This window comes from Homo sapiens, chromosome X (assembly GCF_000001405.40).
Source record: "Homo sapiens chromosome X, GRCh38.p14 Primary Assembly".
Taxonomy (NCBI): Eukaryota; Metazoa; Chordata; class Mammalia; order Primates; family Hominidae; genus Homo; species Homo sapiens.
This window is the reverse complement of record NC_000023.11, coordinates 57,813,273-57,839,320: the sequence shown is the minus strand read 5'-3', so window position 1 is coordinate 57,839,320 and position 26,048 is coordinate 57,813,273. Positions and strand designations below refer to the sequence as shown.

The 26,048-nt window shown below is 40.0% G+C and overlaps 1 long non-coding RNA gene across 1 annotated transcript, besides 1 other annotated feature; it reads left to right on the top strand.

Annotated features, from left to right (window-relative positions):
- The first annotated feature begins 2,633 nt into the window (after window positions 1-2,633).
- LOC124905232 (uncharacterized) lies at window positions 2,634-22,694 on the top strand. The gene is made up of 2 exons (XR_007068362.1): window positions 2,634-2,800; window positions 16,633-22,694. It is a non-coding gene; the product is annotated as an uncharacterized LOC124905232 (long non-coding RNA).
- Window positions 17,211-17,505: an enhancer, noted in NCBI's record as "tiled region #7453; K562 Activating non-DNase unmatched - State 13:Ctcf". NCBI's record gives its function as "activates a minimal TATA promoter and a strong SV40 promoter by Sharpr-MPRA in K562 cells {active_cell/tissue: K562}" and the evidence as "EXISTENCE:reporter gene assay evidence [ECO:0000049][PMID:27701403]".
- Window positions 22,695-26,048: the final 3,354 nt, after the last annotated feature.

Genomic DNA, 26,048 nt, shown 5'->3' with positions numbered 1-26,048 from the left:
TTGTTAGAGAAATGCAAATCAAAGCGAAAATGAGATACCATCTCACAACAGTCAGAATGGCTATTATTTAAAACTCAAAAAATAACAGATCATGATGAGGTTATAGACAAAAGTGAACATTTATACACTGCTGGTGAGAATGTAAATTAGTTCACTCTTTTAGAAAGCAGTTTGATCATTTCCCAAAACACTTAAAACAGAATTACTATTTGACCCAGAGATCCCATTATTGAGCACACACTCAAAGCAATATAAATTGCTCTACCATAAAGACACATAACACATATATTTATTGCAGTACTGTTCCCAATAGCAGAGACATGGAATCAACCAAAATGTCTATCAATAGTAGACAGGATAAAGAATATATGGTACATATACACAATGGAATACTATGTAGCCTTAAAAATGAGGTAATATTCTTTGTAGCAACATGGATGGACCTGGAGGGCATTATTCTAAGCAAACTAATTCAGGAACAGAAAGCCAAATACCACATGTTCTCACTTTTTGTGGGAGCTAAATATTGAATACACATAAACACAAAGAAGGGAACAACAGACTCCAGAGCCTACTTGAAAGTGGAGGGTGGGAGGAGGGTGAGAATCAAAAACTACCTATTGGGTACTATGCTTATTACTAGAATGATGAAGTAATCTGTGCACAAAACCCCCATGACACCCAATTTACCCATATGACAAACTTACACATGTACCCCAGACCTAAAATAAAAGTTGAAAAAGGAGCATCTTATAATAAGGTAAGTAGAATACAAGTTAACATTAATCACTACAAAAAAAGGAAACAAGGAAACAAAAACAATATGTTTTAACTCAATGCCCTCGACATTATGACTTTTATTTTCTCCACTTATGTATGTTTTATATTGCCTATCTCTTTACAAATTTTGTAGTTATTATCTTTCATACATTTATATATTTTATTCATGTCAGAGATATGAGTGGTTACATACTGTTGTTACAATATTAGAATATTCTGTACTTTTTGTATACTTACTTTTACCAGTGAAGTTTTTATCTTCAGATCCTTTATTATTGCACACTTGCATTCTTTTCTTTTAGATTGAAGAACTTTATCTTTTATTTCTAATCAAATCTAGTAGTAATTAATGCCCTCAGCTTTTGTTTTTCAGGGAATTTTTTTTTCTCCCTCATGTTTGAAGAACAGCTTTGCTTGGTACAGTATCTCAGTTGACATTTCTTTTTCTTCAGCAGTTGGAAAATGTCACCTCACTCCCTCAAAGTCTGTATCGTTTCCACTGAGAATTCTGTTGCCATATTAATTGAAGCTTCATTATATATTAATAATTTTTCACTTGCTTTTTTAGGGTCCTGTCTTTAATTTGGCTTTTTAGAGTATGATTATTCTGTATCTTGGAGCAATCTTATCTTGGTTTAATCTTTTTAGTGATGTTTTGACCTTTTCATACCTGGATATGTATATACCTTTTTGTAGATTCAGAAAGTTTTCTGTTACGATTTTTTTAATAAGCTTTCTACCACTTGATGTGCCTTAACTCCATATTGAAAGCCAGTGAGTCTTAGATCTGCTCTTTTCAGGCTGTTTTCTAGATCTCATAGCTGTTCTTTTTCCTTTTTATTATTTTTTTCATCTCCTCTGGTGTTGTGTTTTCAAATATTCTGTCCTTGAGCGCACTGATTCTTTCTTCTGCTTGATTAATTCTGTTTTTGAGAACCTCTTATGTATGTTTTTATTTCTTCCAATGTATTTCTCCATTCCAGGATTTCTGTTTGATTTTTTAAATTATTTAAATCTCTTTGTTCAATTTCTCTCATAAATTTCTTATTTACTTTCCTGTGTTATCATAGAATTCACTGAGTTTCTTCAAACTTCAATTTTAAATTTTTGATTTGAGAGTTCACACTTCACCATCTAGTTAGGGTTAGTCACTCTTTCCTTGCTTTTTTTTTTCATTTATGGAGGTCATGATTCCATGTATGCTGTGGTTTTCTATGAAAGTATGTTAATGTCTTCACATCAAAGAATTATTTATTCCAGTCTCCTCTATCTGGGTTGGTTTGCACATGTCTAGCACATGTGTATTTAGTGGTTCTGTATAATTTACCTGTTGAGTTGCCTTGGCCCTGAATCACCACTTCCTTTTCAGCAGTAAATGGTTCCCTAATTCCATATTTGCTGTGCTTTTCACAAAAGTTCAGATTGATGCCCATTGCAGCTTGGATGAAGCATACAATAGGAGATTCTCCAGCTGTGTGGGAAGGTTATCTAGGAGCTTTTTGCCCAGAGTGAGAAGTGAAGCCAGTTCGACTTCTAGGTTGGGTGGGGACTTGGAGAACTTTTTGGTCTTACAAGAGAGTTGTAAAATGTACTAATCAGTGCTCTGTAAAAACACACCAATCAGTGCTCTGTGGCTAGCTAGAAGTTTGTAAAATGGACCAATCAGTGCCTTGTAAAATGGACCAATCGGTGCTCTCTACAATGGACCAATCAGCACACTGTAAAATGGACCAATCAGCAGGACATGGGTGGGGACAAATAAGGGAATAAAAGCTGGCCACCCCAGCCAGCAGCAGCAACCCGCTCGGGTCAACTTCCACGCTGTGGAAGCTTTATTCTTTTGCTCTTCACAGTAAATCTTGCTGCTGCTCACTCTTTGGGTCTGTGCCACCTTTAAGAGCTGTAACACTCTCTGCGAAGGTCTGTGGCTTCATTCTTGAAGTCAGCGAGACCAAGAACCCAGTGGAAGGAACCAACTATGGACACATCTTGGTGACCCAGATGGGACTATCGCCAAGCGGTGAGTACCATTGCACCCCTTTTGCTTGCTATTCTGTCCTATTTTTCCTTAGGATTTGGGGGCTAAACACCAGGCACCTGTCAGCCAGTTAAAAGCTACTAGCGCGGCCACCAGACTAAAGACACGGTTGTCAGGCTTTCTGGGAAAGGGCTCTCTAACAACCCCTGACTCTTTGAAGTTGGGAGCATTGGCTTGCCTGGAACCAGCTTCCGCTTTTCCTGTACTTCTGGGCTGAGCTGAGGGTCAACAGACAGGAAAGCTGTTCAGCTCCGGGGTCCCAACAAAAAGTTGGTTGACCCTGTAGTCATGAGTGGAACTCTCAAAGTCACGTCGCCCAAGGGAGACTCACCCATCTATCCTATCTATCCTGACCCTTGCCTCCTGGGTCCTAATGCCTGTCAGACACACTTCCTCCTGCCTCTCTTCTCTGAGGCTAGTCCTGCTTCTAAAAACCACTCCCTGTCTCTGGTGCTTTACTAGTTTCTCCTATAAGAATGATTTCTAGTATAAATTTTGGGACTCTGTTCCTTTCTTTAGGCAGCTAGGCTCACCAATCAGAAAGATATAATTTTTGCCCAAAGCCCCATCATGGGAGGGAGACTATCTGGAATTTTAGGATCCCTCCTCAGACAAGCAGGCCTAACAAAAGCTATTCCCGAAGCTAGGATATGGGGAGCCTCAGAAATGATATCCTTTCTATTCATATGATGAGAAGTGAGGACAAAACACATCACTCTTCCAACCCTGGAGATCCCTTCCCTCCCTCAGGGTATAGCCCTCCACTCCATTTTTGGGGCATATCATCTTTATAGGACAGGGGTAAGGTCCCAATACTAACAGGAGAAAATGCTTAGGACTCTAATAGATTTTCGAGAATGTGTCGGTAAGCGCCACTAAATCCGATTTTTCTCAGTCATCTTTGTGGTCTAAGAGGAAAGGCAAGGGTGCAGGTTTTCGAGAATGCATCAGTAAGGGCCACTAAATCCGACCTTCCTCAGTCCTTCTTGTGGTCTAGGAGGAAAACTAGTGTTTCTTCTGTTGCATTGGTGAGGACAACTATTCCGATCAGCAGGGTCCAGGGACAGTTTGGGGTTATTGGGCAAGAGGGGGATCAGCTGCTGCATGGATAAGCACAACTATTCTGATCATCAGGGTCCAGGGACCATTGTGGGTTCTTGGGTGGGGGGGATAAAACAAACCAAAACCACAGGCAGTTGTTTCTTTCAGATGGGAAACACTCAGGCATCAACAGGCTCACCCTTGAAATGCTTCCTAAGCCATTGGGACCAATTTGACCTGCAAACCCTGAAAAAGAGGTGGCTCATTTTTTCTGAACTATAGCCTGGCCCCAATATTCTCTCTCTGATGGGGAAAAATGGCCACCTGAGGGAAGTATAAATTACAATGTTATCCTGCAGCTTGACCTTTTCTGTAAGAGGGAAGGCAAATGGAGTGAAATACCTTATATCCAAGCTTTCTTTTCATTGAAGGATAATCCACAACTATGCAAAGCTTGCAATTTACATCCCACAGGAGGACATCTCAGCTTACCTCTATATCCTAGCCTTCCTATAGCTCCCCTTCCTATTAATGATAAGCCTTCTCTAATCTCCCCTGCCCAAGCAAAGAAATCTCCAAGGGACCACAAACCACCCTCCAGGCTATTTGTTGTGTCCCTTTCAAGCTGTAGGGGGAGTGGAATTTGGCCCAACCCAGGTACATGTCCCCTTCTCCCTCTCTGATTTAAAGCAGATCAAGGTAAGACCTGGGGAAGTTTTCAGATGATCCTTGTTGGTACATGATGTCCTACAGGGTCTAGGGCAAACCTTTGACCTCACTTGGAGAGATGTCATGCTATTGTTAGATCAGACCCTGGCCTTTAATGAAAAGAATGTGGCTTTAGCTGCAGCCCTAGGTTTTGGAGTTACCTGGTATCTTAGCCAAGTAAATGATAGGATGACAGCTGAAGAAAGGGACAAATTCCCTACCAGTCAGCAAGCCATCCCCAGTATGGATCCCCACTGGGACCTTGACTCAGATCTTGGGGACTGGAGTCATAAACATCTGTTGACCTGTGTTCTAGAAGGACTAAGGATAATTAGGAAGAAGCCCATTAATTATTCAGTGATGTCCACCATAACTCAGGAAAAGGAAGAAAATCCTTCTGCCTTCCTCGAGTGGCTACAGGAGGCCTTAAGAAAATATACTCCCTTGTCATCTGACACCAACAAATTTACAAGAAAAAAACAAACAACACCATCAAAAAGTGGGCAAAGGATATGAACAGACACTTCTCAAAAGAAGACATTTATGCAGCCAAAAAAACACATGAAAAAATGCTCATCATGACTGACCATCAGAGAAATGCAAATCAAAACCACAATGAGATACCATCTCACACCAGTTAGAATGGCGATCATTAAAAGTCAGGAAACAACAGGTGCTGGAGAGGATGTGGAGAAATAGGAACACTTTTACACTGTTGGTGGGACTGTAAACTAGTTCAACCATTGTGGAAGTCAGTGTGGCGATTCCTCAGGGATCTAGAACTAGAAATACCATTTGACCCAGCCATCCCATTACTGGGTATATACCCTAAGGATTATAAATCATGCTGCTATAAAGACACATGAACACATATGTTTATTGTGGCACTATTCACAATAGCAAAGACTTGGAACCAACCCAAATGTCCAACAAAAATGCAACATTTTGGTCTGAAAACAGGAGTGTCTGTTTTCACTTAGGTCCATGGGCACAGGCCCAAGGGTGGAGCCCTTTCCGGGGACACTCCTCTTCTCTACCCAGCACGTCCATGCCCTCCCGTATCACTGGCACCAGGTTACAGTTCTGAAATGATGTATCTGATCATGTCAGTTTTGCGTTTTAATCCTCCTGTGGCTCTCTGTTTTGTGGCACCCAATGTGGCAGGGTCACCCAAGCCACATTGTAGAACATAGCTTCTATGTGATCTGTTTAGCCTTATCCTCCCAACACCTTTGCTCAAACCAGAATCCTACCAACACCTTTGCTCCAACCAGACTTCTCACTCTAGCTCAGATAACACACTCTTTTTTGTCCCTGCACCTTTTTTTCCCTTTATTATACTTTAAGTTATAGGGTACATGTGCACAAAGTGCAGGTTTGATACATAGGTATACATGTGCCATGTTGGTTTGCTGCACCAATCAACTCATCATTTACGTTAGGTATTTCTCCTAATGCTATCCCTCTCTCAGCCCCCCACGCCATGACAGGCCCCAGTGTGTGATGTTCCCTTTGTCCAAGTGATCTCATTGTTCAATTCCTACCTATGAGTGAGAACATGTGGTGTTTGGTTTACTGTCCTTGTGATAGTTTGCTGAGAATGATGGTTTCCAGCTTCATCCATGTGCCTAAAAAGGAGAGGAACTCATCCTTTTTTATGGCTGCATAGTATTCCATGGTGTATATGTTCCACATTTTCTTAATCTAGTCTATCATTGATGGACATTTGGGTTGGTTCCAAGTCTTTGTTATTGTGATTGTGCTGCAATAAACATATGTCTGCATATGTCTTTACAGTAGAATGACTTATAATCCTTTGGGTATATACCCAGTAAGGGGATTGCTGGGTCAAATGGTAATTCTAGTTCTAGATCCTTGAGAAATCACCACACTGTCTTCCACAATGTTTGCACCGATTTACACTCCCACCAACAGTGTTAAAGTGTTCCTATTTCTCCACATCCTGTCCATAATGTGTTGTTTCCTGAGTTTTTAATGACTGCCATTCTAACTGGCATGAGATGGTATCTCATTGTGGTTTTGATTTGCATTTCTCTGATGACTGGTGATGATCACCATTTTTTCACGTGTCTATTGACTGCATAGATGTCTTCTTTAGAGAACTGTCTGTTCATATCCTTTGCCCACTTTCTGATTTTTTTTCTTGTAAATTTGTTTGAGTTCTTTGTAGATTCTGGATATTAGCCCTTTGTCAGATGGGTAGATTGCAAAAATTTTCTCCCATTCTGTAGGTTGCTGTTCACTCTGGTGGTAGTTTTTTTGCCGTGCAGAAGCTCTTTAGTTTAATTAGATCCCATTTGTCAATTTTGGCTTTTGTTACCATTGTTTTTGGTGTTTTAGACATGAAGTCCTTGCCCATGCCTATGTCCTGAATGGTATTGCCTAGATTTTCTTCTAGGGTTTTTATGGTTTTAGGTCTAACATTTAAGTCTTTAATCCATCTTGAATTAATTTTTGTATAAGGTGTAAGGAAGGGATCCAGTTTCAGTTTTCTACATATGGCTAGCCAGTTTTCCAAGCACCATTTATTAAATAGGGAACCCTTTCCCCATTGCTTGTTTTTGTCAGGTTTGTCAAAGATCGGATAGTTGTAGATATGCAGCATTATTTCAGAAAATGTGGCACATATACACCATAGAATACTATGCAGCCATAAAAAATGATGAGTTCATGTCTTTGTAGAGACATGGATGAACCTGGAAACTATCATTCTCAGCAAACTATCGCAAGGACAAAAAACCAAACACCGCATGTTCTCACTCATAGGTGGGAATTGAACAGTGAGAACACATGGACACAGGAAGGGGAACATCACGCACCGGGGACTGTTGTGGGGTGGGGGGAGGGGGGAGGGACAGCATTAGGAGATATACCTAATGCTAAATGATGAGTTAATTGTTGCAGCACACCAACATGGCACATGTATACATATGTAACAAACCTGCACGTTGTGCACATGTACCCTAAAACTTAAAGTATAATAATAATAAAAAAAGTTAATTTATAGTTTATCATTTATTTTTTCCTGTGTATGATAGTTTGAGGTTGCAAAATTGACATTTACCTTTTAAATCATACTCCCAAGATGTGATGAATTATCAATAAGGTTTTTTACAAATGTTTTGCCTAAATGGAAGTAAAGAGCCATATTTTAAATTCTTAAACTTTAAGTTCTTAAAAGTTTATTTTATTTGGTGTTATAATTGTTCATACACCAAACAATTCTGCTAAATTCGAATTAATATGTAATGTAATCTCTTTTTTCAGTCTTTTATTATTATTTAAATTGTATAAATAATTATTAGACAAAAAAGAAATGTGTTCTTTCTAATGTTATTTTCTTCATGCATTTTCATAATATTTATAATAACTGTCAACCTTTTTCCTTATTCATTTAACTCTGAAAACTCTTAATAACGGTTCTATACATAAAAATTAATGGTTTTCACAGCCATCATTAATTATTATAGGATTTTACTTTTGCAATAAAAATACACATTTATATTACAATTGACTGTTAGAATTTCAACAAATAAAGCACACACACACACAAAAAAATGTTGCATTTTTCCAAGACCACTCTGGCCCACCACCTCCCCCATCCTGTGCCCATATAAACTCCAGACATTAGCGGGCACAGACACAAGTAGCTGAATGTTGAGAGGAACAGAGGAATAGACCAGTAGACACCAGCAGACTGCAGACCAGTGACGACTGAAAGACACGGCAGAGAAAGACAGAAGAGAAGGCACGGACTTCTGGGCATCTGTTTGGCTGGGGGTGGTCAGGGAAGAGTCTGGCCACTGGGCAGCCCAACTCTAGGGGAAGACCACCTTACGGCTCCCCATCCATCTGGCCGAGAGCCATCTCCACCACTCAATAAAACCTTGCACTCATCTTTTGAAAAAAATAAATAATAGATACAGACAAAATTCAACAATCATTGCAAATAAATGGTGCATTGGAGGTATTTCATTTTCTTAACCTTAGATGTGATATGAATTACTTTGGTCTTTCTTAAATTTGTTATCACATAAGCAATTGTCTAGGTGACATTACAAAGACATCTGGTACACACTCCTGTTCATGCGATTCTTGCCAGTGAAGTTATCTCTAACTCAAATTTAATACCCCTAGGATACATTTCAAATAACTTTTGAGTTTGCCTACAGTTTTACTATAGTTTAAATTCCATTATATTTTTGGTGACTTAAGTCATTTATGAATTTTTCTTTAAAAAATAGCCTGAGATATTTATGGGGCTTGGAAACCAAATGGAATTTTTCCAAAGCATCATTTTAAGACAATCCCAGGAAATCATGGTAATACTGAAATGATAATAGTGACCCTTTTCCACCTGGGTAATAGCAACTCAAGTACAGCAGTGGATCAATTTTGCTTTATTAATATATTGAAAAGATTCAAAGACAAAAAGAATCTGTTAAGTTTTGCCACATATCATTGCTTCAGAATAATGAGTTCATTATGTTGATTGCTTTCCTCTCTATATATAATTTGTTAATGTGGGTCAGACAATGGCAATAGTTGAACTAATCTACGTATCTGCCATAATTTCAACACATTAAATTCTTAAATTAAATGTATTTTAATAAAATGCTAATATTCAAGAAGATGAATAAATTGTTGCTAAGGATTGGATGCTGGCTTTAGAGCAAAGAAGAACACTTGGAAAATTAATGAATTAATATTTTGCTTCCACCCTTGTGAAATACAATTACTCAACCTAAGACAATTCTGATTTATTGGCTAGAGATAATAGTACTAACTAAAATTTGACTAACCCTGAATTCCTGCTGAAAAATGCCAATAGCCTGAAGTTCAAATATTGCATGAGTTAGACTATGAACAGAATCACTATGGTTTACATTGACAACGTGAGATATGCTAGATTCCAATGAAATTATTTGTCAATTTGTCACCCCAGATATGGCCATTTTCTATAGGCAGTCTTGTTTTAAGCCACTTTATTGAGGAGTGATTGACACACAAAATGCTGCACATATTTAATATATAAAACTAGGTTAGTTTGGAGATAAGTACATACTTGTGAGATCATCTCTATAAACAAAGCCATAAACCATCCATTATCTCCAATAATTTTCTTTTACTCCATTTATTTAACTTTAAAATTGTTTTCTTTTGTTATAACATAAAATCTATTCTCAGCAAATGTTTATGTATGCAATACAGTATTGTTATTTATAGGCACTATTCTATACAATCGATCTGCAGAACTTAGTCATCTTGCATGACAGAAACTTCTTGCCCTTGAACTGACCCCTCCCCATTTCTTCCTTTCCTTAGCTGCTGGTAAACAGTATCCACTATCTAGTTTCATGAGTTTGACTATTTGTGACTATTTTGAAGTCCTCATAAAAGTGTCATCATGCAGTATTTGTCCTCTCTCGTTTATTTTACTTAGCATGATGTCCTCAAGGTCTGTCCATATTGTCACAAAGGACAAAATTTCCTTCTTTCTTAAGGCCTAATAACATTTCATTTTATACATACACGCATGCACATACACACACACACATATGTGTATATATGTATATATGTGTATATGTGTATATATGTGTATATGTGTATATATGTGTGTGTGTGTGTGTGTGTGTGTGTGTGTGTGTATACAGGTTGAGTGTCCTTTATCTGAAATGCTGAGTTGCTTGGAATTAGAAGTATTTTTGGATTACGGATTATTTTTTGGATCTTGAAATAGTTGCATATACATATTAATATACCTTGGGGATGGGACAGAAATCTGAACAATAAATTTATTTATGTTTCATATGTGCTTTATACACATAGACTGAACATCATTTTATTTTACCTTTGGAGATAAATTTTACTTTACCTATGTTTTGATAGATTTTATTTTACCTGTATTTTGACTGGAGCCTATCACATGAAGTCAGGTATGAAAATTTATACTTGTGACATCATGTTGGTGCTAAAAATGTTTCAGATTTTGGAGCATTTCAGATTTAAGATATTTGGATTAAGGATTTGACTTGTACCACATTTTCTTTATCCATTCGTCTGTCAATGGACATTTAAATTGTTTTTATAACTTGGCTATTGTGAATAAGGGAGCTAATCATCTCTTTAAAAGACACAAACCCAAACACCATAACTCTGAATATTGAAATCCCAAAAGATCAAAATTCTGAAATATAATTCTGGATTTAAAATATTTTTAGGCCAGGCACGGTGGTTGATGTCTGTAATCCCAGCATTTTGGGAGGCTGAGGGGATGGATCACTTGAGGTCAGGAGTTCAAGACCAACCTGGCCAATGTGGTGAAACCTTGTGTCTACTAAAAAAAACACAAAAATTAGCCCAGCATAATGGTGCATGCCTGTAGTCCCAGCTACTCAAGAGGCCAAGGTGGGAGAATTGCTTGAACCTGGAAAGTGGAAGTTGCAGTAAGCTGAGACCATGCCACTGCATTCCAGCCTCTGTGACAGAGTGAGACCGTGCCTCAAAGTGAAACAAAGCAAAACAAAACAAGACAAAAAATTACTTAAAGACGTTCCTCTGGAACTTTTGTCTCAGAGGAGTACCCGGCCATGTAAGGTGTCAGTCCGTCCCTACTGGGGGGGTGCCTCCCAGTTAGGCTACTCAGGGGTCAGGGACCCACTTGAGGAGGCAGTCTGCCCATTCTCAGACCTCAAGCTGCATGCTGGGAGAACCACTACTGTCTTCAAAGCTGTCAGAGAGAGACATTTAAGTCTGCAGAGGTTACTGCTGTCTTTTTGTTTGTCTGTGCCCTGCCCCCAGAGGTGGAGCCTACAGAGGCAGGCAGGCCTCCTTGAGCTGTGGTGGGCTCCACCCAGTTCAAGCTTCCTGGCCGCTTTGTTTACCTAATCAAACAACTAACTCGGCAATGGTGGGCGTCCCTCCCCCAGCCTCGCTGCCACCTTGCAGTTTCATCTCGGACTGCTGTGCTAGCAATGAGTGAGACTCCGTGGGCGTAGGACCCTCTGAGCCATGTGAGGGATATAATCTCCTGGTGTGCCGTTTTTTAAGCCCATTGGAAAAGCACAGTATTAGGGTAGGAGGGGCCCGATTTTCCAGATGCCATCTGTCACCTCTTTATTTGACTAGGAAAGGGAATTCCCTGACCCCTTGCGCTTCCCGGGTGAGGCAATGCCTCACTTTAACACCCCACTGTCAACATTAGACAGATCAATGAGACAGAAAGTTAACAAGGATACCCAGGAATTGAATTCAGCTCTGCCCCAAGCGGACCTAATAGACATCTACAGAACTCTCCACCCCAAATCAACAGAATATATATTCTTCTCAGCACCACATCAGACTTATTCCAAAACTGTCCACATAGTTGGAAGTAAAGCACTCCTCAGCAAATGTAAAAGAACAGAAATTATAACAAACTGTCTCTCAGACCACAGTGCAATCAAACTAGAAGTCAAGATTAAGAAACTCACTGAAAACGGCTCAACTACATGGAAACTGAACAACCTGCTCCTGAATGACTACTGGGTACATAACGAAATCAAGGCAGAATTAAAGATGTTCTTTGAAACCAATGAGAACAAAGACACAACATACCAGAATCTCTGGGACACATTTAAAGCACTGTGTAGAGGGAAATTTATAGCACCAAATGCCCACAAGAGAAAGCAGGAAAGATCTAAAATTGACACCCTAACATCACAATTAAAAGAACTAGAGAAGCAAGAGCAAACACTTTCAAAAGGTAGCAGAAGGCAAGAAATAACTAAGATCAGAGCAGAACTCAAGGAGATAGAGACACAAAAAACCCTTCAAAAAATCAATGAATCCAGGAGCTGGTTTTTTGAAAAGATCAACAAAATTGATAGACCGCTAGCAAGACTAATAAAGAAGAAAAGAGAGAAGAATCAAATAGACAGAACAAAAAATGATAAAGGGAATATCACCTCCAATCCCACAGAAATACAAACTACCCACGGAGAATACTATAAACACCTCTACGCAAATAAACTACAAAATCTAGAAGAAATGGATAAATTCCTGGACACATACACCCTCCCAAGACTAAACCAGGAAGAAGTTGAATCCCTGAATAGACCAATAACAGCCTCTGAAATTGAGGCAATAATTAATAGCCTACCAACCAAAAAATTCCAGGACCAGATGGATTAATAGCTGCATTCAACCAGAGGTACAAGGAGGAGCTGATACCATTCCTTCTGAAAATATTCCAATCAATAGAAAAAGAGGGAATCCTCCCTAACTCATTTTATGAGGCCAGCATCATCCTGATACCAAAGCTTGGCAGAGACACAACAAAAAAGGAGAATTTTAGAACAATATCCCTGATGAACATCGATGCAAAAATCCTCAATAAAATACTGTCAAACCAAATCCAGCAGCACATCAAAAAGCTTATCCATCATGATCAAGTGGGCTTCATCCCTGGGATGCAAGGCTGGTTCAACATATGCAAATCAATAAACATAATCCAGCATATAAACAGAACCAAAGACAAAAACCACATGATTATCTCAATAGATGCAGAAAAGGCCTTTGACAAAATTCAACAGCCCTTCATACTAAAAACTCAATAAATTAGCTATTGATGTGATGTATCTCAAAATAATAAGACCTGTTTATGACAAACCCACAGCCAACATCAACTGAATGGGCACAAACTGGAAGCATTCCCTTTGAAAACTGGCACAAGACAGGGATGCCCTCTCTCACCACTCCTATTCAACATAAGGTTAGAAGTTCTGGCCAGGGCAATTAGGCAGGAGAAGGAAATAAAGGGTATTCAATTAGGAAAAGAGGAAGTCAAATTGTCCCTGTTAGCAGATGACATGATTGTATATCTGGAAAACCCCACTGTCTCAGCCCAAAATCTCATTAAGCTGATAAGCAACTTTAGCAAAGTCTCAGGATACAAAATCAATGTGCAAAAATCACAAGCATTCTTATACATCAATAAAAGACAAACAGAGAGCCAAATCATGAGTGAACTCCCATTCACAGTTGCTTCAAAGAGAATAAAATACCTCGGAATCCAACTTACAAGGGATGTGAAGGACCTCTTCAAGGAGAACTACAAACCAGTGCTCAACAAAATATAAGAGGACACAAACAAATGGAAGAACATTCCATGCTCATGGACAGGAAGAATCAATATCGTGAAAATGGCCATACTACCCAAGGTAATTTATAGATTCAATGCCATCCCCATCAAGCTACCAATGACTTTCTTCATAGAATTGGAAAGAACTACTTCAAAGTTCATATGGAACTAAAAAAGAGCACGCATTGCCAAGTCAATCCTAAGCCAAAAGAACAAAGCTGGAGGCATCACACTACCTGACTTCAAACTATACTACGAGGCTACAGTAACCAAAACAACATAGTACTGGTACCAAAACAGAGATATAGACCAACGGAACAGAACAGAGCCCTCAGAAATAATACCATACATCTACAACCATCTGATCTTTGACAAACCTGACAAAAACAAGCAATGGGGAAAGGATTCCCTATTTAATAAATAGTGCTGGGAACACTGGCTAGCCATATGTAGAAAGCTGAAACTGGATCCCTTCCTTACACCTTATATCAAAATTAACTCAAGATGGATGAAAGACTTAAATGTTAGCCCTAAAACCATAAAAACTCTAGAAGAAAACCTAGGCAATACCATGCACGACATAGGCATGGGCAAGGAATTCATGTCTAAAACACCAAAAGCATTGGCAACAAGGGCCAAAATTACAAATGGGATCTAATTAAACTAAAGAGCATCTGCACAGCAAAAGAAACTAGAGTGAACCAGCAACCTACAGAATGGGAGGAGATTTTTGCAATCTACTCATCTGACAAAGGGCTAATATCCAGAATCTACAATGAACTCAAACAAATTTACAAGAAAAAAAAAACAAACTACCCCAGCAAAAAGTGGGCATAGGATATGAACAGACACTTCTCAAAAGAAGACATTTATGCAGCCAAAAGACACATGAAAAAATGCTCATCATCACTGGCCATCAGAGAAATGGAAATCAAAACCACCATGAGGTACCATCTCACACCAGTTAGAATGGCGATCATTAAAAAGTCAGGAAACAACAGGTGCTGGAGAGGATGTGGAGAAATAGGAACACTTTTACACTGTTGGTGGGAATGTATACTAGTTCAACCACTGTGGAAGATAGTTTGGCGATTCCTCAGGGATCTAGAACTAGAAATACCATTTGACCCAGCCATCCCATTACTGGGTATATACCCAAAGGGTTATAAATCATGCTGTTATAAAGACACATGCACACGTATGTTTATTGTGGCACTATTCACAATAGCAAAGACTTGGAACCAACCCAAATGTCCATCAATGATAAGACTGGATTAAGAAAATGTGGCACATATACACCATGGAATACTATGCAGCCATAAAAAATGATGAGTTCATGTCCTTTGTAGGGACATGGATGAAGCTGGAAACCATCATTCTCAGCAAACTATGGCAAGGACAAAAAACCAAACACCACATGTTCTCACTCATAGGTGGGAATTGAACTATGAGAACACTTGAACACAGGTTGGGGAACATCACACACTGGGGCTTATCGCGGGGTGGGGGTAGGGGGGAGGGATAGCATTAGAAGATGTACCTAATGTAAATGACTAGTTAATGGGTGCAACACACCAACATGGCACATGTATACATGTGTAACAAACCTGCACGTTGTGCTCATGTATCCTAGAACTTAAAGTATAAAAAAAAAAAAGAAATCTTGGATCTGAAAAATACAATAAAAAATAATGGATTGTGTCAGTCTGTCTATTTGGGCAGCTATAACAAAATACCACAAACTGGGTAGCTTATAATGACAGAAATACATTATTTCTCCCAAGTCTGGAGGCCAGGGTGTTTAAGGTCAAAGTGGCGGCAGATTCAATATCTGGTGAGGTCTTGCTTTCTGGTTTATAGAAGTTAAATGAATAAAATATTTATAAATGTACTTTTTAAATATTTTTCAATTTAGTGATTTTTAAGATTCAAAGGGTACATATGCATGTTTGTTACATGGATATATTGCATACTGTGTGGGATTGGGCTTGTAGTGTACCCATTAACCAAATAGGAATAGGTAGTTTCTCAAACCTCAACCTCTCTCACCCTTCCCCATTTTGGAGTCCCCAGTGTCTATTATTTTCATCTTTATTTCCATGTATACTAAATGTTTATTTCCTACATGCAAGTGGAAATATGTGGTATTTGATTTTCAGTTATTTCACCTTTCAGTTACTTCACCTAGGATAATGGACTTCAGCTCCATCCATGTTGCTGCAAATTGCCTGTCTTCATTGTTTTTTAAAGCTATGTAGTATTGCAGGTATATGCACAAATTACCTATTAGTACATTATTCAGTCAAAGATTGATAAACACCTTTGTTTGTTTCGTGACTTTGCAACTGTAAATAGTGTTGTTAATACAGGAGTTACTAAGAAATAATTTTTAGGCAGCTAGAAAGGGTAATGGTTCTCAGTGGAATTTTGGTTTAATAAAAAGCAACCCCCAAAACATTTCTTTTCTAACAGAAAGCAGCTTGAAAAACCAGACCAGCAAGCATTGATATGCAAATACTGGTGATTAGAAACCAGGTCCACCCAACAGGGCCGTTCCCGCTCTCTTGTCCTTGTCACAACTTGTGCCAGGTGTCATGGCCATCTCCAGATAACACCACGTGTGCAGGACATCATGGCGCCCATCATTAGCATATTAAAAGACTAGGGTGAGAGGGCCAGGTTTTTCATGGGCTACATGAATGACACATCTGGTCACACCAATTCCCTGGACCCTATGCAAATCAGACACCACCTCCTTCAGCCTCCCAATATATCCAACTGCTTTTCCACTGCACATGGCGTTTTCTCCATTCGGGTACCCCTTTCCTCTGTACAGGGGGAGCTTTTCTTCTTCTTTCTTAATTAAACTTTCCACTCCTTAAAACTACTCCACGTGTGTCCATGTCATTTGTCTAATTGGCAGGAGACGAAGGACCCTGGTGTTTCTCCAGTCATTGGAGCCATATCATTTTGGTGCATTGGCTGGAAATCCAAGGTACAACACTCATCGGAGCGGTGAGTATAGGAGCGGACTTTCTACTTTCATTTCCAAGGCTTCTCGTCCTCAGTTTTTATTCTCTCAAATAACTATATAAAAAAACAAAAACAAAGAAACAAACAAAAAACTGGTGTCATTTGGCTGATTAATGAGCCACTAGGGCTGGCCACTGGTCTAAAACAAACAAACAAACAAACAAAAAACGGGTGTCCTTCGGCTAATAAGCCACAAGAGCTAGCCACAGATGGTCTAAAAGACTCAGGTGTGAGGCTTGCTAAGGAGGACTTAGTCAATCCCCTTGTGTCCTCAGGGTGCTGGGAATGTTGGCTCTGTCCAAATCAGTCTCCTTTCATGAGAAATATTCGCAATTGCGTGAGGATGGGAAAAGTACTGAAGCAACTGAGAATCTCTGGCCAGGGCACACCCTGGTGTTATTCAAAGGCTTCTGGACCTGACCCAGCCTCCGACAGCCCACTCTGGGTGTTGGTAGAGAATCCCCAGCTATCCTGTCACATAACTTACCTTCTTTTTTTTATCTGCAGTCTCTTACTCTCTTTCTGTGTGTGTCAAATGTGTGGGAATTTTTACAGTTCAGGGAAACAGGTCTGTTAGGAAAGATTGACAAAAACGGCAGGCAGTAACTCAATAAGCGTCTCTACTATGTTCCTGGGGAGCACATGGTATTTCTAAGCCAACAGCGCTACCTAGTGGATACAGAAATCCTCTACATGAGGCACATTTTTTAAAGTAACACTGCAGCTTCTTTTTGCGCCACTAGAAATCAGGCTCTAAGCCCCTTCTGTGAGTGGGGAAATTCTGCTTTCAACTATTAAGAATAAAATGTCCACCACAGCCAAATTTTAGTCCTGATACTGTCCCATCAGCAGGAAAATTGCCATTAGGTCCCCACGTCCCTTTAAGACACCTAGCCTCTTTCCTATTAGAAGCGTATTTAATTAGGGGATTTTAAGTCCAGAGGGTAACCAGAGCCATTTTTCTAAGGGTAAATGCTTTAGCACGAGCCATAATAGCAGGAAGTCTAGCATATTTCCTCCATTAAAGGAGCCTTGCCCAAAGACGACACAGTCTCTCTGGAGATCCGTTTTCTGGCAAGCCAGGCAGATCACATAGGTTTAGGAAGTCAAAGGGGAATCACACAAGGCAATAAGATAAGTTGCATGGATAATGCATGATTAATCCCATCACTTAGTTTATTCAGTTCCATGGCTTGGAGGGCTATGCCTACAACCATGGGCAGCACATTTAACAGGGTGCCTGGACCTAGGAACCAGGGAGGGAAAAGAGTCGGAAGGATTGCCCACAACCATAGGCAGCACATTTAACAGGGTGCCTGGACCCAAGATCCAGGGAGGGAAAACAGTCGGAAGGATGCTCCACTGTGTTATTCTCCACCCTGGGTCATATGGAAAGGAAGGAGACAAAAAAGATGCTTTTATTCTCACTTCTTTTTTTTAATGGGTAACAATATCTTCAGCTTGCACCCCTTTGGAGTGTACTCTGAAGCACTGGAACTTTTTTAACCTCAGGACTTTGAAGAGAAAAGCGACTCATTTTCTTTTGCACAAGGGCATAACATTTTTACTAAACCTTTGCAAGCATTATAAGACCATTCCAGCTCTCTTAGCGATAATATTGGGCAAGGCCACAGGAAATTGTTCCCCAGAGCTAAAGCAGATTTCAGAGGAGCAATCTGAGACAACTATTGAATGCCCCAACCCTTCCAGCCCCCCTCATTCAGAACCCCCTCCAATCATACCATCAGCTCCTCCAGCTCCACCATCTCCAGTATTACCCACTTTCCCTGCTTCTCTCTTACCTCTGCAGGAAATGCCTGATGGAAATGATGCCATGAGGGTTCAAGTTCCCTTCTCATTACAGGACCTTAGGCAAATAAAGAGAGATATAGGCAGATTTTCTGACGACACTGATAGGTATATGAAAGCTTTCCAAAATTTAACTCGGGTGTTTTACCACACATGGAAGGATGTTATACTGCTCCTAAACCAAACCTTAATGGTAGCTGAAAAGCAGGCAGCTCTTCAAGCAGCAGATAATTTCAGAGATGAGCAACATATCTCCTATAATACACCAAAAGGGAAGGAAAAACTTGGGGAAAGTGAAAAAATAGCAGAAACACCATTCCCAATGGGAAGGGAAGCAGTTCCCCTTGACAATCCTGATTGGTACCCCAGTAGCTCTGCAGATGAATGGAAAAGAAAGCACTATTTAATATGCATTTTAGAGGGCCTATGAAGAACTAAGACCAGACCTCTCAATTATTCTAAACTGTCTATGATAAATCAAAAACCCAGATGAGAATCCTGTAGCCTTTATGGAAAGGCTGAGAGAGGCACTAATAAAACACACCTCCTTAACCCCTGATTCAGTCAAGGGGCAGCTCATCTTGAAGGAGAAGTTTATTACACAGGTAGCTCCCGATATTAGAAGGAAACAACAGAAGCAAGCTATAGGACCAGATAGCACCTTAGAGAACCTCCTGAAGGTGGCCACTTCTGTCTTTTATAATACAGACTAGGAGGAGGCCCAAAAGAAAGAGAGAAAGCTCAAGAGAAGAACAGAAGCTCTAGTAGTGGCTTTGCAGGCTTGCAAAGTCCAGGGTACCCAAGGTGCATCCACTAGCTCCTATCAATGTGGCAAGTCAGGGCATTTTAATAAGAAATACCTGGGCAGCAAGACAAAACCACCTCAACCCTGTCCAGCCTGTGGTGGAGACCACTGAAGTTGTAACTGCCCCTGGAGATGGAGGTCACTGGGTTCAGAACCAGTCTCACAGATAGATCAACAGGACTGATGGGTTCTGGGGCTCAAACCTCCAGCTCCAGTGGCTCAAACTGCCATTACAGCACAGGAGCCCTGCGTGATTCTGGAAATTGAAGAAATGAAAGTAGACATCCTTCTAAACACTGGAACCAGTCTCTCTCTCTTTTCTCCTCTCTAATTCAGGCCTCTCCTCTTCCCATAGCACGACTGTAAGGGACATCTCGGGAAAAACTCTAACCCAGTATTTTTCTCAGCCTTAGTTGCAGTTAAGAGGACCTATTGTTCACACATGCTTCCAAGCCATTGTCACGATAGTTTATGACTCAGAAAAGCCTCCAAATTAACCTCAGGAAATAATTTAACTGTTTACACTCCACATAACATTGCATGATCACTGTCCTCCAGAGTAAGCTCTTAGCTAACAAACAGCCAGTAAAGCAAGAAGTACATAAGGCAGAATAAGCAGTAGTTACTCTTCCCAGACACAAGCACTCAATTAGTTGAACTAATAGCTCTTACAAGAACACTTAAATTAAGCAAGGGAAAGATAGCTAACATTTACACTGATTCCAAGTATGCTTTTTTAGCTCTCCACGTTCATGCCGCCATTTAAAAGGAAAGGCATTTTCTTACCACGAGCGGATCTGCTATAAATATCACCATAAATTAGCAGGTTATTATTCTCAGTTTTTCTTCCATGAGAAATAGCAGGGATGCATTGTAGGGGACCTCAAAAGGAAACAAATAAAGTAGCCAAAGGAAATAGGTTAGCTGATCAGGCAGCTAAGTCAGTGGCAAGGAAGCCTCAAGACATTAACATACTTTAAATGCCTCTAATCTAGGAAGGCTCCATAAGAGAAATTAAACATTACTATTTGCCTGCAGAAATAGAATAGGCCTCTTGTCGAAGGCATACTTTCCAGCCCTCAGGATGGCTACAGTCAGAGGATAGCAAACTCCATTTGCCAGCCCCCAGCCAATGGAAAGTCCTTAAAATCCTTCACCAAGCTTTTCACTTAGGAAAGGATAAGACCTATCAATGTGCTCAGAATTTGTTTTCAGGCAGGAAAGTTCTAAATTGGCTAGACATATAACCTCTCTAGCTCACTTCCAACAAGAATTAACACAACTATCAGAAGCCCAACCCAGGAAATAGAACCACGTTTATTTAACCCAGAAAATTGGGTGTTAGTGAAAAATCTCATCTCTCCTTCCCTAAGACAAGCTGGGAAGGGGCCTACACTGTTCTTCTTTCAACCCCCTTTGCAATAAAAGTTACAGGAATCAACTTCTGAATACATCACACTCAAGTCAAAGCCTGAAGCGCTGAGGGAGCAACACCTACCAGCCCAGAGGAACGTCCTGAATATCAATGTGAAGAAATAGGAGATCTTAAGCTGAAAATCATAACAAATACATAATGAGTGAGGGATACTCATTTTACTCAGTCCCATTCCTACCTCACCAGATAGTTTTCATTATTTCTACCCTTTCCTCTTAAATTCACTGCTGAATATTAGAACTTCTATTAATGCATATTTGCAGGATGATTTTAATTATTCATAGAATCGCATTTATAAATTTGTAGATCCCCACAGGAAAATGTTATATCTCAGCAAGTAAACTTTTAAACGGAAATTATTTTCTATGCCACTATTGTGGGAATTGTTATAGTCATACTACTACTTCCAATAGAACTATACACTGCGGGACCCACAATGTGAAATTCTGGTTGTAAAATTCTAATTGCTATAATATTTTGCCTGATTATCATCCTTATAACAGGGTTAATAATTGCAGGAAAGATTAAGCCAAGGTTATTTTGCTTATAGCAGGACTAATAGTTACAGATAAGAACTAAGCATGAAAGTTTTACTATCATTAAGTTTGATAGGACTTTTTATTGAAGATTGGTAATATGGTGCACTCTAAATTATGGAAAGAGGTTATAAAGGAAGGAATTTTATATATAAGAAAGGATTTTCTATGGTAAATTTTTGTCTTAAGGGGAAATGACTGGTTGTTTAAAGAAAGGATGTTTAGAACAAGTCTTGAGTATGTTGTAAGAGATCCATGAAATTCATGAAAGAATTTAATAATTAAAGAAAAAAATCATCAAGATTAACGTTAAGGTTATTTTAGCCACCCAATAATGTATTTCTCCCAATCATATTGCAAGTTATAAAAATAGCCTAAAACTAAAGTTACTCTCTAATAAGTCAAGGGGGAAATGTATGCTTTTCTCAAGGAAAATGTTACTTTTATATTAACGTTTCTGGTAATTACAGCAACATCTAGTGGAGACAAACCAGCATTACAATCCACTGGTGTAACTAACAGTATCAAACTCTACTCTCAGTTATGGTCTATAGGACCCCCATTAAGAGTGGTCATCTTAATGCTAATATTCTAACCCTATATTTTAAACCTCCTTGTAAAATGCATATACTTTTACCTAGAAGCAATCAAACTCCAAATGGTGCTGCAGACAGCCACATAAGGACATGTGATTCTTCCGAGAACTTTTAGATCAACCTCAGAAGGCCCAACTGCTGTTCCCCCCACATGAACGCCCCTTTTCCAGCAGGAATTAGCTAGAAAGAATTATTGTCCAAAGCCCCCTAACAGCAGGTAGGTTTACTTCTCTTGAGGGGGACTAATACAGGAGTTATTTAGAAATAATTTTTAGGCAACTAGAAAGGGTAAAGGTTCTCAGTGGAAATATCCTTTAATAAAAAGCAACCCTTAAAACATTTTTTTTCTAACAGAAAGTGGCTTGAAAAATCAGACTAAGCATTGATATGTAAATGCCAGTGATTAGAAACCAGGTCCAACCAACATGGCAGTTCCCTCCCTCTTCTCCTTTTCACCATGTGTGCCAGGTGTGATGGCCACCTCCAGATAACACCACGTGTGCAAGACATCATGGCGACCAGCATTTGCATATTAAAAGACTAGGGTGAGAGGGCCAGGTTTTTCATGGGCTACATGAATGACACATCTGGTCACACCAATCCCCTGGGCCCTATGCAAATTAGAAACCACCTCCTTTAGCCTCTGAATATAACCAACTACGTTTCCACCACATGTGGGGTTTTTCTCCATTCAGGGCCCCCCTCCCTCTCTATGGAGGGAGCCTTTCTTCTTCTTTCTTGCCTAATTAAACTTTCCACTTTTTAAAACCACTCCATGTGTGTCCATGTCATTTACCTAATTGGCACAAGAAAAAGGATCCTGGTGTGGATAGCTGAATAGGAACAGCTCCAGTCTACAGCTCCCAGCATGAGTGACATAGAAGATGGGTGATTTCTGCATTTCCAAATGAAGTACCAGGTTCACCTCACTGGTACTTGTTGGACAGTGGGTGTAGCCCACGGAGTGTGAGCCAAAACAGGGCAGGGCATCGCCTCACCCAGGAAGTGCAAGGGGTCAGAGAATTCCCATTCCTAGCAAAGAGAAGCCGTGACTGACAGTACCTGGAAACTCAGGACACTCCTGGCTTAATACGGTGCTTTTACAATGGTCTTAGCAATTGGCACACCAGGAGATTATATCCAGTGCCTGGTTTGGCGGGTCCCATGCCCACAGAACCTTGCTCACTGCCAGCACAGCAGTCCAAGGTCAAATTGTGAGGTGGCAGTGAGGCTGGGGGAGAGGCGTCCACCATTGCTGAGGCTTGACTAGGTAAACAAAGCAGCTGGGAAGCTCAAACTGGGTGGAGCCCACCACTGCTCAATGAGGACTTCCTGCATCTATAGACTCCACCTTTGGGGGCAGGGAATAGCTGAACAAAAGGCAGCAGAAACTTCTGCAGACTTAAGCACCCCTGTCTGAGAGTTTTGAAGAGAGCAGTGGTTCTCCCAGCATAGGTTTTGAGATCTGAGAATAAACAGACTGCCTCCTCCAGTGGGTCCCTGTACCCTGAGTAGCCTAACTAGGAGACACCTCCCAGTAGGGGCCGACTGACACCTCATACAGCCAAGTGCCCCTCTGAGATGAAGCTTCCAGAGGAAGGATCAGACAGCAATATGTGCTGTTCTGCAATATTTGCTGTTCTGCAGCCTCTGCTGGTGATACCCAGGCAAACAGGGTCAGAAGTGGACCTTCAGCAAATTCCAACAGATATGCAGCTGAGACACCTGACTGTTAGAGGGAAAACTAACAAACAGAAAGGAATACCATCAACACCAACAAACAGGATGTCCACACCAAATCCTCATCTGTAGGTCACCATCATCAAAGACCAAAGCTAGATGAAACCACAAAGATGGGGAGAAACCAGAGCAAAAAAGCCAAAAATTCTAAAAATCAGAGTGCCTCTTCTCCTCCAAAGGATCACAGCTCCTCGCCAGGAATGGAACAAAGCTGGACAGAGAATGACTTTAATGACTTGACAGAAGTAGGCTTCAGAAGATGGGTAATAACAAACTTCTCTGAGCTAAAGGAGGATGTTTCAACCCATCATAAGCTAAAAACCTTTAAAAATGATTAGACAAATGGCTAACTAGAATAAACAGCACAGACAAGATGTTAAATGACCTGATGGATCTGAAAACCACAGCATGAGAACTACATGACGCATGCACAAGCTTCAGTAGCCGATTCGATCAAGTGGAAGAAAGGGTATAAGTGATTGAAGATCAAATGAATGAAATGAAGCAAGAAGAGAAGTTCAGAGAAAAAAAAGAGTAAAAAGAAACGAACAAAGCCTTCAAGAAACATGGGACTATGTGAAAAGACCAAATCTACGTTTGATTGGTGTACCTGAAAGTGACAGGGAGAATGGTTGGATATTCAGGATATTATCCTGAATTATTCTTCAGGATATTATCCAGGAGAACTTCACAACCTAGCAAGGCAGGTCAACATTCAAATTCAGGAAATACAGATAATGCCACAAAGATACTCCACGAGAAGAGCAAATGCACGACCCATAATTATCAGATTCACAAAGGCTGAAATGAAGGAAAAAAAATGTTAAGGGCAGCCAGAGAGAAAGGATGGGTTACCCACAAAGGCAAGCCCATCAGACTAACAGCAGACATCTCACTAGAAACTTTACAAGCCAGAAGAGTAGGGGACAATACTCAACATTCTTAAAGAAAACAATTTGCAACCCAGAATTTCATATCCAGCCAAACTAAGCTTCATAAATGAAGGATAAATAAAATGCTTTACAGACTAACAAATGTGAAGAGACTTTGTCACCACCAGGCCTGCCTTACAAGAGCTCCTGAAGGAAGCACTAACCATGGACAGGAACAACCAGTACGAGCCACTGCAAAAGCATGCCGAATTGTAAAGACCATTGAAGCTAGGAAGAAACTGCATCAACTAACGGGCAAAATAACCAGCTAACATCACAGTGACAGGAATAAATTCGCACATAACAATATTAACATTAAATGTAAGTGGGCTAAATGCTGCAAATAAAGGACACAGACAGGTAAATTGGATAAAGAGTCAAGACCCATCAGTGTACTGTATTTAGGAGACGCATCTCACAGGCAGAGACACACATGGGCTCAATGCTGCAAATAAAGGACACAGACAGGTAAATTGGATAAAGAGTCAAAACCCATCAGTGTACTGTATTTAGGAGACGCATCTCACAGGCAGAGACACACATGGGCTCAAAATAAAGGGATGGAGGAAGATCTACCAAGCAAATGGAAAGCAAAAAAAAAAAAAAAAAAAAAAAAAAAAAAAAAAAAAGCAGAGGTTGCATTCCTAGTCTCTGATAAAACAGACTTTAAACCAACAAAGTTCAAAAGAGACAAAGAAGGCCATTCCATAATGGTAAAGGGAGCAATTACACAAGAAGAACTAACTATCGTAAACATAGATGCATCCAATACAGGAGCACCCAGATTCATAAAGCAAGTCCTTAGAGACATACAAAGAGACTTAGAATCCCACACAATAATAATGGCAGACTTTAACAACCCACTGTCAACATTAGCTCAATGAGACAGAAATTTAACAAGGATATCCAGGAATTGAACTCAGCTTTGCACCAAGCAGACCTAATAGACATCTACAGAACTCTTCACCCCAAATCAACAGAATATATATTCTTCTCAGCACCACATCACACTTATTCCAAAATTGACCACATAGGTGGAAGTAAAGCACTCCTCAGCAAATGTAAAAGAACAGAAATAATAACAAACTGTCTCTCAGACCACAGTGCAATCAAATTAGAACTCAGAACTAAGAAACTCACTCAAAACCGCACAATTACATGGAAACTGAACAACCTGTACCCTGAACGACTACTTGGTACATAACAAAATGAAGGCAGAAATAAAGATGTTCTTTGAAACAAATGAGAACAAAGACACAATGTACCAGAATTTCTGGGACATATTTAAAGCAGTGTATAGAGGGAAATTTATAGCACGAAATGCCCACAAGAGAAAGCAGGAAAGATCTAAAATTGACACCCTAACATCACAATTAAAAGAACTAGAGAAGCAAGAGCAAACACTTTCAAAAGGTAGCAGAAGGCAAGAAATAACCAAGATCAGAGCAGAACT